Source organism: Homo sapiens, chromosome 1, assembly GCF_000001405.40.
Source record: "Homo sapiens chromosome 1, GRCh38.p14 Primary Assembly".
Lineage (NCBI taxonomy): Eukaryota > Metazoa > Chordata > Mammalia > Primates > Hominidae > Homo > Homo sapiens.
In genome coordinates, this window is record NC_000001.11 from 65,400,478 (window position 1) to 65,416,733 (window position 16,256).

Sequence of the window (16,256 nt, forward strand, 5' to 3'; positions counted from 1 at the left end):
CTGCCCTACCTCCAACCACCCCAGCACCTGGTAACCACCATTCTACTCTTTATTTCTATGAGACCAACTTTTTTAGCTTCCACATGTGAATGAGAACATGCAGTATTTGTCTTTCTGTGCCTGGCTTATTTCACGTAACATAATGCTCTCTAGGTTTATCCATGTCATCTCAAATGATAGGAATTCTTCCTTTTTATGGCTCAATAGTATTCTATTGTGTATATACACCATATTTTATTTATCCATTCATCCATTAATGGACACTTAGGTTGATTCCATATCTTGGCTGTTGTGAATAGTGCTGCAATAAGCATGGGAGTGCAGATATCTCTTTGACATACTGACTTGATTTCCTTTGGATATATACCCAGTAGCAGGATTGATAAATCATATGGCAGTTCTATTTTTAATATTTTAAGGAATCTCCAAATTGTTTCCCATAATGGCTGTACTAATTTACATTCCCACCAACTGTGTCCTTTTTTCTCTACATCCTTGCCAACATGTTTTTTGTTTTTTTTAATAGCAATTCTGACAGGAGTGAGGTGATATGTCATTTTGGTTTTGATTTGCATTTCTATGATGATTAGTGTTGTTAGGATTTTTTTATACATCTGTTGGTTTTATACGTCTGTTGGTTTTCTTCTGGTATTCATCTGTATGTTTTCTTCTGGTAATTCCATAGTTTTGGGTCTTACATTTAAATCTTTAATGGATTTTGAGCTGATTTTTTTATATGGTGAGAGATAAGAGTCTTTTTACCCTGTTGCCTTCTTATTCTGTTGATTGTTACCTTCCCTGAACAGCAGTTTTTAGCTTGACAATTGTCCCATTTGTTTTTCTTTTGTTGCCTGTGATGTTGGTTTCATATTATTTCTCTTTTTTAAAACTAATGGTAAAATGCTGAAGCTCAAAGATGTTAAGCAAGATTCCCACGGTCACTCAGGAATTGGCAAAGCCAGAATCCAGATCCAGACCTAACTTCGAATCTTATAGGAAAGAGTGAAGTCAGGTGACATGAGGACCTGGAAATAAAACAAACACTGGAAATAATAGTTCACACTTGTGGCCTGGAAACAGCATTTGTCTTTTCTGTGGTCTGTCCTTGTTCAAGGCCACCATTCACCCAGGTCAGGGAAACAGGGTCTAGCAACTTCTTAGACATTTTCAAACCCTGTCCTAATTTGCCTAGGAGACAAATAAACAGTAACTCTGGAATTCTGAATTTCACAATTCAGCCTCAAACAACTAACTCATTTTCAATGACCTTATTTCCTTTTCAGGAGGCTTTGGAATGGGAAGCAAGTCAGCTGCCACCAGCCCAACCGGATCCTCGCATGGTACTCCCACCCATCAAAGCAAACCCCAGACTCTGGATCCTTTTGCCGACCTTGGGACACTAGGTACAAACTCAGAAGATCAAGATACAAATAACATTTATTTATAGCTATAAAGCCTCAAATCTCAGTCTTTGGTGTTACAGCAAGCTGGTATTGTCACCTGGAACCTCAAATAGTGTGTATTCTTAAGCTATCCTCTGAAACCTGAGATTGGCTTTTTAAAAAAGGAAAGCGATAATCAGATGTGGGGTTAGAAATCATCTTTATTGATTCATTTCTCCAGTGCCTAATTCTGGATGTGTAGCATGAATAAAGTTAGAGCTTTCAGGGGCTCATGGCAACAGAGTTTGGCTGCGCAAAAGTAATGCGTAGGGAAACAGTATGAGACAGGGCTGGTCAGATGGATTTGTGCCACATGATGCCAACCTTGCAGAACACTAACTGTGATGCGGTGATGTTACCTGTGAGATCTTCACACCGTTCCCCTTCTCTCCATTAACTGTGGTGCTCTCCGGTCAATTTGTAAAATTCTATACAGAAAATAGACTCAAGTATCGTATTTCCAGAATATTTTCACCATATGTTAATAGATGTTACAGGATAAGTGTTCTGAGAGCAGGTGAGATTGGGAAGCACTGGTTTCAGTGGATTTTGATTACCACTAAGAGGGACACAGTATCCAGAGTTCTCAAACTGATTTCACCAAGGAGCCTGTTTTCAAGGAGGGGTTCACTGGACTACTATGTTCTGAAACATTTTCTTCCTCCTTTTTCCTTCCTCCTCTAGGGCAGTGCAGATTTGTTAAATAAGGGTGGGGTAGCCCTGACACAAAGGTTTATCTTGGCTATATTGATAGTCTGTGATCTCAGAAAGCCCTACTGAGGCATTTAGAGCCAGATGGAGGGAATGTGAGCCTGGCTACCGTTGTTGTCTGTAACTAGTGTCAGCATCTTTATCTTCCATTCTGTACTATTTAGATGTTTTTCCCTTTTAAGAACTCTCAAAATTATTTTATGCAGTCATTTTCTTCTCCACCTTTCTTTGTATCTTACTGAAAATTTCAAATTTTAAAGTAATATTATATCAGATGAAATTTTACTTCAATAAAATCTCATTTATTATTTATTTTTAATGCATTTAATGCATTGATTCATCCAACAAGTATTTAAGGCACTTTTGTGCCTTCTAGGTGCTAGGACTGTTTTAGTAAAAAAAATAACCAAACAAAACAAAACTCCTGCCTTAATAAAACTTACATTATAGAAGGGGAATCAAATAATAAATTAACAAATATATAATGTCAAATAATGAAAACAATAAAAATAACAGTTAATAGTTATTGGGGCCTTACTATGTGCCAGGCACTACTTAAAGTGTTTTACATATATCATTTCATTTAATCTTCCTCATAATCTTTTGAAGTAGTGACTGTTATAATCCTCGTTTTACAGATGAGGAAACAGGGACACAACAGGTTAAGTAACATGCACAAATCACAAGCTTTCAACACCAAGAAGTCTAGCTCTGGAGCTTGCACTCATAAAAGGTTTAGAGGTTGATGTAGCTGAGTGTGGGAAGGGGTATCAGTTCAGTTCATCCAGTCAATGGTTTTCTACCCTTGAGCATTAATTCCCTCATTTCACAGGTATTTTTGAGTACTTATTATGTGGTAGGCATTCAGGATGTAATAAAGAATCAAAGCTGATGATATTCCTGTTCTTTGAAACTTGCACTACAGTGGGAGGAAGAAACTTTAATCAAATGTAAAATATCCGCTACTGTAGGGGCTACACAAGATGGAGCATTTTTTAAAAAGCTCCCCAGGTAATTCTAATGCACAATCAAGGTTGAGAACTACTGCTTTGCTTTTAATGAGGACTGCAGTGGTCTCTGGATTTAGCTACCACTTTGTATTTCTGTAAGTTCTCTGCTTCAATAGCATTAACAATTAGACTTGCTGAGCATGGGGAGAAAATATTCTAGAAGGGTAGACATCAGAGAGTCCTGCAATGTTGATGAGCCCCATGAGTGCGGGGTCAGCGTCTGCTTTTTCACCACTGTATCTGCAGCCTGGCATCTAGAGGATGCTCAGTAGTGTTTCCTAAATTAATGAATAACTGGCAGTGTGGTAGGCATATGGCAAGGTTTTCTTAGTTCTTTAGGCTTTTCTGTATTTACCAAATTTTAAAATAAAAAAAACACATATGTTCAGAACAGAGTAAGCTTCCTTAAATATAAAATGAAACCCCAGTGTAGAATGAATACCAAGTTTTAGGTGTATGTTCCCGTGCTATTGGCAGGAGGGCTCTGGGACATAGGAAGAAGGAATTCATGCTGCTAGTTATGGAATGAGTGGGGCAATGCCAAGCTTGAAGACAAGCCCTGTCATTACATTTTCCTATCACCAAGTGTTTATTGAGCCCTGAAGATGTACCAGGCATGTGCTTATTAGCATATGAGCTTACATTATTTTATAATATATAACGTCTCTTTGTTTGCTTAATTGTGTAATACTTTCCTATAGTTGTTGTGTCTTTACAGTATACCTGTGATATAGACATAGTTTTGATTAAACAGATGAAGAAACTCAGGCTCAAAGGAGTGAGTTTTTTTTACCCAGCTTTAGAAGAGCAAAGATTCTCTATATCCTGTTTTCAGCTATATTCTTAGTGCCCAGCATAGTACATGACACTTGGTAATGCTCATCAAATAGTGGTGAATTAGTGTATATATGTATGAATGAATGAAGAACGAATGCAAGAATGAATGACAGAGCTGAGACTCAAACTCAGATTGATGGTAAGTCCAGTGATCATGATGCATTTCCAGCAGGGAAGGAAAGTGGAGCCCCAGGATCAGAATAGGGAAAGTATCTATAGAAAGAAGAGATAGTAAGGGATGAGTTGTAGTGAAAGGCTTAGCAATTAGGAGAGGAATTAAGGATTACTGAGTGCAGTAAATGAACATGACATTTGGAGGTAGGATGCACATAGTCTAATCCCAGCTCCATTAATTGGCTGTGTGATCATGAGTATATCAGGAAACCTCTCTGAGCCTTAATTTCCTTATTTTTAAAGTGGAGCCAGTGATACTACTTACTTCCTAAGAGTGTTGTGTAGATCTGAGCAGTAATGTACATAAACACATTTTGTTAACTCTAAAGAGCTATATAAATATTAGTTATTTTATTATTGTTACTTTAGACTTATTACATGAAAGGGTCTTTGGACATCAGCACATTTCAGTTTTCTCATTTTACCTCTTTAAATGCAAGCCACAGCTGGTTTTCATATTTTGGACATAGCCCAGCTTGTATGCAATGAGTGCTTAAAAGTTTGGAGATTATGGAATCAAGATTCTACTTAAATTCCTGGCACAAAATAACATCATTTTCAAAGCTTGAATAAGATCCTTTGTCCTGTTTAAAGTTATCAGAATGTTGACTGTTTTTGCTCTCCTTCAGTGAAATGCAAGTAGTATGAAGTTAAAACCTACTTGTGAAATTTCAAAACATCTTTATTTACTCTTGGGCACTAACCATGCTTTATAACAAAAAATGATGAATCCTAATAATTGAAGTTTAAGTAGCACCTTAATGAGTGGACTGTTTTATTCCCCATTCTTGTCATTTGGTGGTTTTTTTTAAATTTTATTCTAGTGAAGAAACAGAATCTGCTCAGAAGATGGAAGGGTGGGGAAGGATGGCACAGTGGGAAGAGCCAGGGTTCTTTTGACCTGGAGGCAAAGATCCAGAATCAAGTCTCGGCTCAGCTACTTGCTGTGTGCCTCTGAGAAAAATCACTTAACTGCTCTGACCTGCAGTTTGTTCATCTGAAGGAAAAATGAGGCCATTAAAACATACCTAGAAATGTTATTGTGGGGATGAAGGAAATAATATGTATGCCTGCAATTGCTTTATCTATATTAGGAAGATTACTTATGCTGTCAGTCAAGGGAATGACTATTAAAGCCACTGCAAACAGTGTCTTAAGACACAAGAGTTAGAGGCCACTCAAAATAGTTTTACCTTCTTTATCTCTTTTTTTCTTTAGGTAGTTCTTCCTTTGCCAGCAAACCCACCACACCAACTGGATTGGGTGGAGGATTCCCGCCTCTCAGCTCGCCACAGAAGGCGTCTCCCCAGCCTATGGGTGGCGGGTGGCAGCAGGGAGGTGCCTACAACTGGCAGCAGCCACAGCCTAAGCCTCAGCCCAGCATGCCCCACTCCTCTCCCCAGAACCGACCCAACTACAACGTGAGCTTCTCAGCCATGCCTGGGGGCCAGAACGAACGTGGGAAAGGATCAAGTAATTTGGGTAAGGATAATGGTATGGGACCTAGCTATGGGGCAGCCTGTCTATGTTGTCATACTGCCTGAATGTGTCTCTCTGAAGGTGACAGTATTTTCTGGGTAGTTTCAATTCAGTAGTTTCTGAGGGAATCTTATAGTTGTAGAGATAAAACATGATTCCTACCCCCAACGCTGTACCTGGAGGCTCCTAGGTTGACTATGCTCCTAACTTTTATACCATTTTGTGACCGTGGGCTCACTTGGCTGTTTATCTCCAGACTGGAACCAGATGGAGGGCAGGGACTGTGTCTTAGTTGCCATGGTATCATTAGCACCTAGCATAGTGCTTGGCATAGGGTAGGCACTAAATGAATGTTGAAGGGATATGAGTGGAGAGGTAGATGGATCTTAAAGCTGTTATTCCTTTGGAAGAGGAAGTGGAAGAAAAAGTTGGGGAATCTTTCAAGCACATTGGTCATATTTGCCCTTTGGTCCCAGTTGGTGGACTGCATGTGTCTTGGAAAACTTGGTCTTTCTTATGCTCTGCTTGGTGGATTCCTGAGATCAGCGGGGTACCTATGATGGTGCCAACACCTGAGGCTGGAGGATACTCTGGATAGGATCTTGACAATGAATGAAAAGTAATATTTTTGCATAGGAAGGATGGTTAGATTTGAGTTTATTAAAAGCCTATTTTGGTACATTTTATATTTCAGCTGATTTTGTCAGACCCTCCAATGAAGTACATAGGAACATGGTGAGGGAAGAGGCCTTTCTCTCTATGGAACATGGAAAGGCAATTCTTATGCTCTTCCTAATAGCTGTAGCTAACATTTATTGAGTCCTTACTGTATGGCAGGTGCTATCCTAAGCATTTTTCATGTACAGGCATCCCCCTTTATTTGTGGTTTTATTTGCAGTTTCAGTTACCTGAGGTCAACTGCAGTCTGAAAATATTAAATGGAAAATTCCAGGAATAAGCAATTCATACATTTCAAATTGTGCACTATTATGAGTAGCGTGATGAAACCTCGCACTGTCTTACTCCATCCTGCCTAGGATGTGAAGCATCCCTCTGTCTAGCACATCTATGTTGTATTCTCTACCCACCCATTACTTACTTAGTAGCCATCTCGGTTATCAGATCAAAAAAAAGAGTACTGTATATATAGGGTCTGGTACTATCTGCAGTTTTAGGTGTCCACTGGGGGTCTTGGAACATACCGCCTGTGAATAAGTGGAGGGACTCCTGTATTATTTCTTATAATCTTCAAAACCAACCGCATATCATAGGAAGCTGTGACACAGATCGATGAAGTAATTTCCTAAGTTTATACAGCTTATAAGCGACAGAGCCAGGATTCGAACCCTGGCAATCTGGCTCCAGAACCCCTGCCCTTCATTGCTACCCTCTACTGGCTAGAACACAGGTGCTCACAACACCAGCATGTTAGGAATTCAGTTGTCGGGGATATGTAACATCATGTTTGTTCTTGACTAGCAGGGATATTTCCTGGACAATTCCATAGAGTCATGCCAATTCCCCTCCATTTTTGAGTAGATAGATGTGGGGCGAGTGACTTCAATCAGCAAATACTTATGGAGCATCTTCAGTGTAGAAAACATTGAGGATGCAGCAGGGAACAAGAAACAAAATCCCTAGTTTCAGAGCACTTACATTTCAGTGTGTGCAAAAACAGGTATGTGTATGTCTTACAGTATAGAGATAGCAAATGGTTTTCAACTCAAAAACTGATTTTGGTTGATTTGAATCGACTGTATGGACTGTTATGTTTTGGTTCTATTTTGTTTTAACAAGCATTTAGATAGCCAGGCACTGTTCTAAGCATTTTAAATGTTAACTAATTCATTTTCAAAACAAGTCCATAAGGTGAGTAATATTCCTAACACCATCCCCATTTTATGGATGAGGAAGTTGAGGAGTAGAGATAATAAGTAACTTGCCTAGATTACATCACTAATAAGTGGCAGAGCTGGAATGCAAACCCAGGGAGTTGGGGTCCAAAGTCTTTGTTCCTAGCCACCATGCTCGGCTGCCTCTCCAAACAAATTGAGAAAGATTAAGAGGCTACAACCAGACTTGGAGAGAAAGAGCAAAGTGATTGACTAAAATATCAACAGAATATGGGCAGAGAAGTGGTAGCATGCATGAATTTCAAGTACCAAACCGAGATCCCAGTGCCAACACTGATATGAGTTAGTTATAATCTGGAGGGATAATGAGTATCCTCATCTAAAGAGAAGGTACAGTGGAAATGGAATTGGATTTGGCTTCATGATCCAGCCTCCAGTTTTAACCTTGCCACATATATGATTCTGGACAGGTTCATTTTCTTCATCTGTAGAATGGATGCAACAGTCTCTTACCCTACTCACAGGGTAAGCAAGCATGAGGGTTAAGGACTGAATGCATATTAAAAACACCTTGAAGACTCCAGATGCTGTGAGATAATGATACAGCATTATGTTTAAGAATGAAAACTGTAATGATTTTCAAAAATTATATTGCAGAAGGGAAACAAAAAGCAGCTGATTTTGAAGACCTACTCTCTGGTCAAGGTTTCAATGCTCACAAAGACAAAAAGGGGCCTCGGACAATAGCTGAGATGAGAAAGGAGGAAATGGCCAAGGAAATGGATCCTGAGAAATTAAAGGTGAGTGAGGCCCCTGACGCAGCTTGATTATCCTATATGACAAAGTCATGTGATAAAGTCATGTGTATGGAGCTATCGCCATGAGAGTAACCTATTGTCTTAGCCCATTCAGGCTGCTATAACAAAATACCATAAACTAGGTGGCTTATAAACAACAGGATTTTTTTTTTCTCATAGTTAATGAAGGCTGGGAAGTCCAAGATCAAGGTGCCAGCCATTTTGGTGTCTGGTGAGGGCCATCTTCCTGGTTCATGGATGGTGGTCTTTTCCCTGTGTCCTCATAGGCAGAAGAAAGAGGTCTTGCTCAGGCCTCTTTCATAAGGACACTAATCCCATTTATAAGAGGTCTGTCTCATGAACTAATCACCTCCCAATAGGAAGCCCTAACCTCCTAATACCATCACCTCTGGAGTTAGAATTTCAACATAGCAATTTTGGGGGGACACATACATTCAGACCATATCACCTATAAAAGGCATGATAGTAGATTTCTGGTGGCCACTCTATTTCATTTGGTCTTTGCAGCTGTGATTTGAGTACAGCTGTGCCCTTTAATAGCAAAGTAGCTCTGAGGAGGTTGCACACACTGTTTACTTTCTTTAATAAAATAAATGTTATTCCATGATATGGCAATATAGATTTCTTTTGTTTGCCTGTTCAAATGAGCAGTGGCACTTTCTAAGAGGTGATTTTGTTATTCAGATGGCATTCACATTCTAAAGATGAGTCATTAGAATTTGCTGGTAAGAAGAATGCATTATTTATGTTTTCTCTTTCTGCTTTGAGAGCTTTTTTATTAAACCAGATTGACTGAAGCCCCCAGGATCTTTTCTCTACCGATAGAGAAATATTTATGTACCTGAGACTTACCAATTCCTGCAACATTAGACCTGGAGCTTTGGAAAGTAGAGGAGAGAAAGGCTGAGGGAAGTGTGGCTCCTGTCTTCCCCATTGTCTCCCTCTACTTTTAACCAAAGCAGTTCCACTTTTCTCTCTTTCTGATTCTGGAGGTTTAGGTAAAATTAGATTTGAGGTTTTTCCTCAAATCAAATCAACATACTTTTTTCCTCAAATCAACATACTGTTTTAGCATGTTTCAGCATTTTGTTTTTTTAAGTTTGCAATTCAGCGAATCTAACCCCTTTGTTTCACAGCTGAAAAAAAACCACATAACTTCATAGATGAAGATGTTGTATGGACAGGCGGATGCGGATTAGCTGGGAAACAGAGGGTGGTTCTGTTGATGAGTGGTATGAGGTCTGGAAGAGTTTGTAAAGATCAAGAGAATTGGAATGCTCTTCACAGATGGAGAGGTTGAGTTCCTATGTGACAAAATACTAAATATGCTGATACTACAACAAACTGAAAGAGGAGGATGTAATCTGTCTCTGTATTAAAGCATCTGCAAAACCAGTACTTAAACAGCAAGTCAATCTTAACACATTCTGAAAACATATACCACCGTTCTGTATAATTTCCTGACAGATTTGTTGCAGATGTATATAATATACATCTAATATAACTTAGATTCTTTGATACATTTTTTAGTACAATGTAGGGTCTTTCATTTGCATGTTTTTCACTCCACCCAATGTCACAGAAGCTTAATATTTCTTCCAAAAACTTTGTGCTTCATCTCAATAACCGTTGTTCATTAGGCAAATTCGGACAGTTTCCTATAAAAGAAAGCTGTTTATTTCATTTAAACCATGTTTGATTATTTAATTGGTACAGGGTATGTAATTGTTTGGGAGGGTAGCTGTCATTAATGTGACTAAACCATTCATCCAGCAACACTCACTTAGCTGAACTCCTGTTAGGTACTCAATGCTGATACAGTTTTATGATCCCTCTGACTTAATCACCTCATTTGTTCAAACTGTGAATGTTCATAGTTCAAATAAATGGCTAAATGGGTCAATTCACGTAACAAGCCTTTTTGAGCTCTGTTCTGCACCAGGTTACTTATTTGGTTCCGAGATACAGTGATATATAAGAAATAATACTTTTCCTCAAACAGCTCTGCCTAATGGCAGGCAAAGAGAAACACACAATTACAATAAAGTGTGGTACATATTATGGTAGAAATATGTTTAAGGTAGAGTGGCCCAGAGAAGTTTGGCCCTTTTTTAAGGTTTACTTATTTAGTGCAGTATCTACCCTCATGGAGTTTATATTGAGTATAACTCTGGGGGTGGGGATGGGAGAGAAAGGAATTCAAACTCGCAAAGTCTAACAGTGTGAAATTTCTCAGCACCCTTTTGAAAGATGATAGAGTTAACCAGGGAGACAAGGTAGGAGATTGAGGAGGAGAAGCATTCCAGGTAGAGGAAACAGCCTGGATCATACAGGTTGCCCTAAGTGTTTTGATGTTGCTGGAGCAGAAGGGGTTTCTAGAGTCCTAGTGGAAACCTTCTGAACTAGTAAGTAAGCATTTGAATTTCTTAATCCCCTTTGTGTTTACAGATTCTGGAATGGATTGAAGGCAAAGAAAGAAATATCAGAGCCCTTCTTTCCACGATGCATACCGTACTATGGGCTGGGGAGACCAAGTGGAAACCAGTTGGCATGGCAGACCTGGTAACACCAGAGCAGGTGAAGAAGGTGTACAGGAAGGCTGTCCTGGTGGTGCACCCAGATAAAGTGGGTATAACCTGCCCTGTTGTGTAACTTGTCAGGTCCTTGCTTCATTATCTTATGAGTATGTGTTTTACTTTAAATGTGCTGGTTCATATGGCCTATTTTTAATAAAATTAAGTCAATGAGCTAAAATCAGATATTTAAACAAATAGTTATACTTTATGAAATGAGAAAGACGATATCAAACTATATATTACAGGGGCTTATTTAGAGAGAGTAAGATTTACCCAGTGATTAATTTTTAGGGCTCAGAAGTAAATTGTGTCTGAGTACGGTGGCTCATGCCTGTAATCCCAGCACTTTGGGGGGGGCAGGGTAGGCGAATCGCTCGAGCCCTCAAGTTTGAGACCAGCCTGGGCAACATGACAAAACCCCGTCCCTACAAAAAAAATAAAAAAATTAGCTGGTGTGGTGGCATAAGCCTGTAGTCTTAGCCACTCGGGAGGTTGAGGTAGGAGGATCACTTGAGCCTGGGTGATCAAGGCTGCAGTGAGCTGAGATCGCTCCACTGTACTCCAGCCTGGGCAACAGAGTGAGACCCTGTCTCCAAAAAAAGAAAAGAAAAAGTAAATTGTGTCCTGGCTTACAATAGTAAGGACAGGCTAAGAGCTGGACAGAAGAAAACTCCTTTCCTTTAGAGATACAGCAGTATAGTTAGCTAGGATGGTAATGAAAAAGCTTCAGAATGTAGTTGGTAAAATTTGTGAGAATCAATAAAATATTCAGAATGGAATTAAATTTGCCCTCTCTTGATTATTACTACATTGATTATGTCAGTTTATGTTTTCATTGAAGTATATATACATCTAAGGGCTCTACCTTGTCAGAAACTTCAAGTAACTCATGGACAAATGAAATCATCATATAATACATAGAAACATTCAGCAAGAAGTGAGTCATCTTGCTGTCACATAGACTATACCAGTCATATGACATGAAGCTATGATCGAAGTGCCACTTGGGAACACAGGCTTGAATTTGATGCATATGATTTTCATCTCTCCACATTTTTTTGTACTAGTCTGAAAAGAAGAATTAATGAGAAGCAATGGTAGTGCTTGAATTTTGATGAATCAAAAGAGAAGGAGAAACAAGAGCCCAGAAAAATCCACAAACTGTATTCCCCATTATGACTCTCAAAGAACTTTTTAGAAATGGGAAAATGGGAGTTAAAAACAGTCAATAGAGATGGGCTGTCATGAACCTTTGTCATTTGGCAGATACGTCTGGAGAACAGAGATACGTCTTGTGCTGCCTGATAAGCTCTCTGTTGTCTACTTCTTGATGGATTACTACTACCCTTGTGCATTTCTAGGGGGAGGTCATTATGGGGAGGTTATAGTAATTTGGGTCAGATATAGTAGATTAGGCTGAAAAGGAGAAATGGCCAAATAGAAAAACATTTCCATTGCTTAGAGCCCATATATTGGCAGTGAAAAATTTAATATTAATGAAATTTTGGTCTGTGGTATCTAATGTGTGTTTTTGTTTTCTCTACAGGCTACTGGGCAACCCTATGAACAATACGCAAAGATGATTTTCATGGAGCTCAATGATGCCTGGTCTGAATTTGAAAACCAAGGCCAAAAGCCCTTATATTAATTTATGAGCTTTTCCATCTCTGCTGCAGACCTGTGCTAATGCTTAGTGTGTGTCACAATTCTGAGGTTTTCGCAGATGAACCAAAAACTCCAGTAACATGTTTTCAGTACTAAACCGTTAAGTTACTCATGAATTAATTTCTCATTGATAAGGAATGTGGATGTTTGGTTTCTCCAAAGTTCCCACCATAAAAGATCCAAAGCATGAGAGGAACTTCTAGTCAGATGACCTTGCAGAACCACCGCATTCCACCCTGCCCTTTGGGGAGCCTACTCAGCATTCTACCTGGGGAAATGGAAAACAGAGGCCACCACCCATGAAGGCATAACACCCATCACATTGTCTGAGAATAGGATTAATGAGCAAAAGTTATGATAATAGAGTTATATGATGGTTTAATGGTTTCTAGATTTTTCTTGGAAAGATATAATTTGAGCAGTGGCTTTATGCAGACTCCAAGAACAAAACCACCAGGTATTTTTTTTTAAGTAAAAATTTACTAAGGCCTTTAGCATAATACTGTAAATGTCTTTTGGTCAAGAGAACTAACAAATATAAAGGAACTTGAAATGTGGGGAGTGATAATAGTCCAGTGATTAAACTACAGTCCAGTGATTACCACCAACTTTCTGACTAAGCTAAAAATGAATGAAAATGGTGGCTAAAGAAAATAGGGACTCTGAAGATGTCGAAATCTTTATTCCTGGTTAGGAAGGTGGGCCGCTACCCTTCTTTCCCTTTAGAAAACTGTGATTAATTAAATAAAAAGTCTTACTACTATAACAACTCTAAACCTGGTTTAAATGAAACATCTAATTTTGCTGTAAGGCTTAATGCTCTTCTTTTGTTTAGCCAAGAAAACATTCTTAGTTGGAAACAGGTGGTAAAGTAGTTTGGCCTGTTCACAACTTATCAGGACCAATATCTAGTGTGGACTCAGTGTTCTCTAGGTTTGTGAGCAGTTGTGGTAAGAGAATGGAAGGCAACACTGAATAGGAGTTAAGGGAATGGCACGATCACAGTGAGAGAGCTGCACTCACCTGCAGACCCAGTCAGATGGCTTGTCAGTATCTGCTCTGAGGAACCAGGTCCCACCTCCCCACAAGGCAAATCTAGACCCATTAAATTATTACAGTGGGCTTTTTTGTTTTAAAAGTGGTTGGGGATCCACAGGAACGACATTCATACAGGGACATTTGTGAAAGCAAAGCAAGAATGAATGCTTTCCCGATCTCAGACTGGCTGGATTCAGATCAGTGTGTTGGCTGGTTCTCATTTTAAGGGGTAAGCAGTTTGCTATTCTGTGACTTTAGTAGATCTCTTTTGTGTGCACATATACAATGTGCATTATACATATATATTAAATATATCCACAAAGCAGATGGGCAAAAAGATTTTCATGCTAATCTTCAAAGGTTCATGCTCAATATTGTGAAAAGCTTTTAAAAGTTGTTTTGAAAAGACAATCATTTTTTGTTTTTGTTTTAACTTTCTTGTGGCAAGCTATACCGGAAAAGCGGCATGTCAAAAATACTTTAGGTTCTACATAGATCTCTTTCTCTCTTTTGTTTTGTTTGTTTGTTTGTTAAAGTTCATTATTTATTTTACCTTTTACTGACAATGTGAAACTCGAAGAAAATGTTCTCTTTTTAAATATACAGTCATAAACTGTTCAAGGTAACCATAACAAACTAGGTGTTATTTATTAACGTATTATAAAATAATGTTTGATCCAGTATGTGCTTGTCTTATTTAAAATTGGAATGTGAGACATGTTGCTGTGACCTGTTTTTCTTTCTCATTCACATTTGTAGATATTGTGTGAACTACAGTATATAATGATAACAATTAAAAGGATATTCTGTGGATGTCACGTATTTTGAAATGATAGAACTACATTAGCTTTGTATCATGTTTGGATAATTCATCAATGTTCACAGTTTAAAACATCATTAAACATTATGTAATTACAATGAGAAAGAATCTTACTTAAATTTGGAGATTTTCCCCCACATCTCTTTTCCGGATACATTATAATTCTGGACCCCTATTTATCTCAAAACTCTTAATATATGCAGACCAACAGGTCTTTGCATTCCTTTTAAATAACTGGTTGTGACAAAGCTTGTTGTTGATCAGATTCACTGTTTCATCATATTTATTGTAATATATTTTTTGTTTTGTAAATATGTTACAACAAAATGTGATTGGTCTAAAATATTTGTAATGTATATTAAAAGGTTCAAAAATATTTGTATAAATCTAAGTTATTTGGGTACTTGTAGGAATACAATGAGGAGCTTGAATGCCACCTTCTGACATGATTTACTTTTAAGGAAAGTTATGAGGAGAGAATACAAAAAGCATGCACCAAAATGTAATCTGACAGGATTTCTGGATTTATACGTAATCACTCCTGCCCCAACACACACACACACACACACACACACACACACACACATGCACGCACACATGATTTTGATTATGCTACATGATATATGTTTCAAAAAGAATTAGCATAGAAATCCTGGTCTCCTAGCCAAAAAAATCAAAGGATTTTCAAAAAAACGAATCTGTATGTTGAGGCAAAAGGATTGAACCTGGAAGTCTGGGACTTTATCATAGAAACAAAGTCTCAGATATTTTAGTTCTTTGGAAACAAATGCTGTAATTCAAAAGCATTTGACCTGTCACTGTACTATCTACATGTGGAAGAATGTTCAAGTTGAATCCTAATGCCGTGAATGAAACACAGTCTGTGTAGGGAATGAGCAAAAAAGTTGAATTCCAATTGCTTTTTGGCCTTTTGGCTAAAATAAATGTAGCATCTAATTTTATCAGTTTAACATCTGATATGTCTTCTATCCATGTACAATATTTTAAATGGATTTTGTGGAGCAGGGAGATGGAATAGGAGTTTCCCCCACCCATTCCACACATCAGCCTGGTAATGCAGTAACTGCAGGAATAGTTCACCTCCGCCTCACTAAAACAACAACAACAACAACAAAAGACAAAATTTGAATTCCAGAAATAGTTATTGCAGCAACAAGTCAGTCTCCCTGCTGGAAACACCTATCAGGGAAGCTGGCTCAAGTAGCAGATTTTGATTATTCTAAAGATAAATCATGGTTTTTGGGAATAGTGATACATGTTGGTTTGAGATTAAAAGACTGGGTTTAAATCCTAGTTTTTCCATTTATAGACTTTTTTTTTTTTTTAAGAGAGTCTTGCTCTGTCACCTAGGCTGAAATGCAGTGGGTCTGTCACAGCTCTCTGCAACCCCTAACTCCTGAGCTCAAGTGATCCTCTCTCCTCAGCCCTCTTGAGTAGCTAGGACTGCAGGTGAGAGCCACCATGCCTGGTTTTTTTTTTTTTTTTCAGACGGGGTCTTGCTGTGTTGCCCAGGATGGTCTTGAACTCCTGGCCTCAAGTGATCCTCCAGCCTCAGCCTCCCAAAGTGCTGGGATTACAGGCATGAGCCACTGTGCCAAGCCTTACAGACTCTTATATTGGACAAGTTTCTTGAACTGAGTCTTAATTTTATCACCTGTAAAATAGAATTCTAACAACCCTGCAATGGAGGAATTAAGAACTGTGTATATAAACTCTTAACAAGCGGGTACTCACTAAATAGTAATTATTGTTATTGTTACTGATAGTAAATAAGACAAAGTATATCACTGTAGGTGGGTATTGGAGCTGGAA

The 16,256-nt window shown here is 38.5% G+C and overlaps 1 protein-coding gene and 1 pseudogene across 3 annotated transcripts in view, besides 1 other annotated feature; both read left to right on the forward strand.

The window, feature by feature from the left end:
• The window catches only part of DNAJC6 (DnaJ heat shock protein family (Hsp40) member C6), a 151,123-nt gene extending 135,729 nt beyond the window's left edge, over window positions 1-15,394 (forward strand). For all 3 annotated transcript variants that reach the window (NM_001256865.2, NM_014787.4, NM_001256864.2), the window contains 5 exons: window positions 1,284-1,403; window positions 5,393-5,656; window positions 8,164-8,306; window positions 10,773-10,949; window positions 12,447-15,394. In NM_001256865.2, coding sequence (NP_001243794.1) covers window positions 1,284-1,403; window positions 5,393-5,656; window positions 8,164-8,306; window positions 10,773-10,949; window positions 12,447-12,548 — 806 coding nt within the window. In that variant the 3' untranslated portion in view covers window positions 12,549-15,394. The remainder of the gene's footprint in view (window positions 1-1,283; window positions 1,404-5,392; window positions 5,657-8,163; window positions 8,307-10,772; window positions 10,950-12,446) is intronic.
• Window positions 12,069-12,363: an enhancer, noted in NCBI's record as "tiled region #12103; K562 Activating DNase matched - State 5:Enh". NCBI's record gives its function as "activates a minimal TATA promoter and a strong SV40 promoter by Sharpr-MPRA in K562 cells {active_cell/tissue: K562}" and the evidence as "EXISTENCE:reporter gene assay evidence [ECO:0000049][PMID:27701403]".
• RNU2-15P (RNA, U2 small nuclear 15, pseudogene) lies at window positions 15,339-15,525 on the forward strand (annotated as a pseudogene).